This window comes from Homo sapiens, chromosome 3, assembly GCF_000001405.40.
Source record: "Homo sapiens chromosome 3, GRCh38.p14 Primary Assembly".
NCBI lineage: Eukaryota > Metazoa > Chordata > Mammalia > Primates > Hominidae > Homo > Homo sapiens.
Window position 1 is genome coordinate 147,932,412 of NC_000003.12, and position 3,572 is coordinate 147,935,983.

At 34.1% G+C, this 3,572-nt stretch overlaps 1 annotated feature.

Moving 5' to 3' along the window:
- Positions 1,478–3,238: an enhancer, noted in NCBI's record as "VISTA enhancer hs1224". NCBI's record gives its function as "enhancer in: forebrain[5/10]" and the evidence as "EXISTENCE:transgenic organism evidence [ECO:0001131][PMID:17130149]".

A 3,572-nucleotide genomic window follows, 5' to 3' on the forward strand; every position in this document is an offset into this window, starting at 1 on the left:
CCAAATCAATAAGGTTAATAGACATGGGGCCACGCAGTCAGAGGTGATATGGCTGGCATTTCTGATGCCAATGAAGACAAGTTCTGGTGTCACTTTTGTGCTGGCAACAATGTTACCCTGATTATCTGGAGCATAGGGTTGTTAAGTGTTAACAGGACTGTGAATGGCCCATTAATCCGAATTATTTTAAAGGAACTAGTTCAATTTTACTGTTCTTTAAATTATTGGTGTCCATTATTTTTGAAATATCAACTGCCCCCTTGCTGTAGAAAACATTGGCGTTCAGTTCTGTTTGTCTGAGTGCCCCCAGCAGCAGATTGTGACCATAAAATGTTAGCCAAAAAAACTAGAAGGCATTTTGTCTGAAAAAAGAAAGTATTTTATGAAAGGAACCCTATGTAAAGAGGAGGTTTTTAAATAACAAAATATGAACTCATTCTAGAAAACCTTGTTTATTTAGTAGTCTACATAGTAGTCTATATAAAGCAACATGAAATATAAACTAGTTAAGGAAAGAATGGATAGTCAAGTTCCCTTCCTACTGTAGATTAATAATTTGTCTTCTCTTTAAGAAACCAAAGTTAGCAACGCCTTCCAGAGTCTATGAAAGTGTACCATTTATAGTCATATCCCAGCAACTAAAGCACTGACTCCAAAGCAAACAGAGTCATCTCTTTCAGTACTTCACATGAATAAGTGTATGTAAATAAATAAATAAATGTAATATAGATATATTAGTAAGTAGTAGTTTGGAACACTTGCACTCATCCTTGAAAAAGGCTTGAAAGTGAATATTATTTCAAATAATTAATGCTGATTTTACTGTGCAAATTAAAGAAACATCCATGCCATGATATCATTTAAAGAAGGATCTGTTTGACTACATCCTACTTTTACAAACTCTTACTTATATTTTAAAGAAAACAACAAAAATCAATGAAAAATCTAAAGTTTTAACACTGTAAGAATTTTCTTGACAAACTCTATGGTGTTTATATATCCATCCTGGATGTATTCAACCTTGTTTTACCATTGGCTGATTTGCCATATTCTTAAAATAAAGATTGGTGATTGCTGAAAACTTAGGTACATCAGACAATAATCATTATTCTCCTTAGACAAATTTTGTCAGTGAAGACAGAATGTACCTTAGCAAAGTAAAGTAGCAGATTGAATCATGGTATTCTTTTTATCATCTCTCATATTCAGTAACCTATTAAATAGTAAAACATATTAGGTTAACTTGAAAATGCTTCAAGTTGGAAAGAAACTGAATTTTTAAAATCGCACTGGGAGAGTCATTGTTAATTGAGTTGTAATCACTGTTGGTCATTAGCTTTTTATTTTATGATAAGGATCTTAATGATGATGGTGGTAATGATTAGGTAATGTGCACACAAAGTGATGAAAATGTGTTCTATTAATCTGAACAGAATTCATTTTTATACCAAATGATGTACATGGGTTTACATGATTGCTTTGCAACAACCACGAAAAAAGTAAGAGCAAACATTCTGGACTTTAAACACCTAAAAGAGGGATTTTCTTTAATCTTAAATTACCTTTCTTATTTTTATTTTTGAAATGCTAGCCAACCTTGTTCTGAAATTTAAATTATTTGCCCACAATAAATATCATTTTTTTAAAAAAAGTGTCTATTTTACTTATCATTCAGGAGGAAAGCAGTTCTTTTGCCAGTTGGACATTTTTTTTAAAGCCTAATTTGAATAAATTAACATATTTTGTCTACAAAAATTAATTCTAAAAAGGAATGATAACTAGAAAAGCAATTTAAATTGTATATTTTATAAGAAAAGAAAAAAAAACTTTGTCATTCACAGGGCAGCTCAGTTAATTTGATGTGCTTTGATGTAAATTTAGGGGTTGTTTTAATTTCAAAACATATTTTTTCAGTTAATAAAGGAGACAAAAGAAACTTTCAACCAGCATCTCCAGTTTGTTATATTGGAATGTTTTGGCTTCTCAAATGTGAGAACATGATTGTTTTTATTTCCAGGAGGAGATAATAACACTGAAGCAATAAAAAAGAGTCAAGGCAGCTTGCACAGCACAGGAAGTTCACAGCCAGAGACTTAATTTCTCACACAATGTACTGTGCAATGGGCCCATTAACATAGATGAATAGGCTCTTTAGAGGTTTTTTTTTCTCTTCTTCTTCTTCTTCCAGATATGCAGCTGCCGCTGAATGGTGATATGTTAATAAGGTACTCACTTGCCTATTCTTCAGGTACTCTGGCATTCTCTACCTAGGTAATCTCTATATAGGAAAAGCTATTAGGGGGTTGTATCTGCTACCACACCTTCAATTATATTAACACCTGCACTGATAATCCACGTAAGGTAAACTAGTAGGGGGCCTATGGCCTTAGTCCACCCTTTTTTTCCCCCACAATGTTACATCTGAGGTTGGGGAGAAAGTAAGAAGCAGAAGAAAAAAAAGGAAAGTCACTTTTATTACACATCAGTGGGAACCTTCTGAAAAAGCTTTCATGCCTAGGAAATTGTTATTTCTTCAAACAGCTGACAGCCTGCAGAGGAAACTCTTAATGGAAACCCAGCTCCTGCATTGTTATGCATGGCCCTCATGTAGATTCGGGGGGTGGATTAAGTTAGCTTCCAAAGGGCCTATTGTGTGTAGCATTAATTTGCAGGGCTCTTGATATTTGAGTTGGAAGGTTTATAACCTCAGTGTTTACTTAGATGAACTACATCCTAGGTTTGTTTATTTCCGTCTGCAGTCTCTTATTTCCTAGTAAATGTTACATTTATATTTGTTAACAGCAAGAATGTTGTTATAAATCTGAAAGAAATAATTACACGTGCTTACAATCATTCACTCTAAAGCCTTGATCCTGGTTCTACAGGGTCACCCTTCCTGTTAGGTCTATAGAAGATTACATAGATAAATTCACTTCTCAAGAATATTTATGCCATCCAGTTACACATGTTTAATATAGCCTATCCCAAGTGTTAACTTTCTGTGAAATATGTAACTGCCCCTGTTTCTTTCACATGGCAATATTATAAACACATGCCCCTCTCTAAACCTGTGCCTTTCACATCCAGATGAACAAACTATAGAACTGAGCATTGCTTTCTTTTATTACTGTTTGAATGGTTACTTGCAAAGGGTCAGTTGCAATTTTTTAATAGTGAATTTTTAAAAAAGCCTCCAAATTGTTATTTGCAAACAACTCTGGTGTTGTAGATGCAGGAACTCCTAAAAAATCTCATCTTCTGAGATTAACTTGCAAATTTTCATTCAGAAACTTTTTCAACACCACCCCTCTCCCTATTCTCTCCTTTTCCTCCCTGGATTGTATAGGCAGTTGCTAACATGAATTTAAAATTCAATATGAATGGCTGGCGGCAGGAGGGTGCTGGGGGGAACATGCCCATTGGAACCAACTCTGGTCTTAATCTGGATTTAGGGGCTCAATTGAATAGAAGTACATTATGCTTGAACAACTGAAATTTCTATTATTTTGAAACCTTTTTTAATAGACAACAACACAAGCAGCATGTTGAGTATTTTATTGCACATTTTCTGC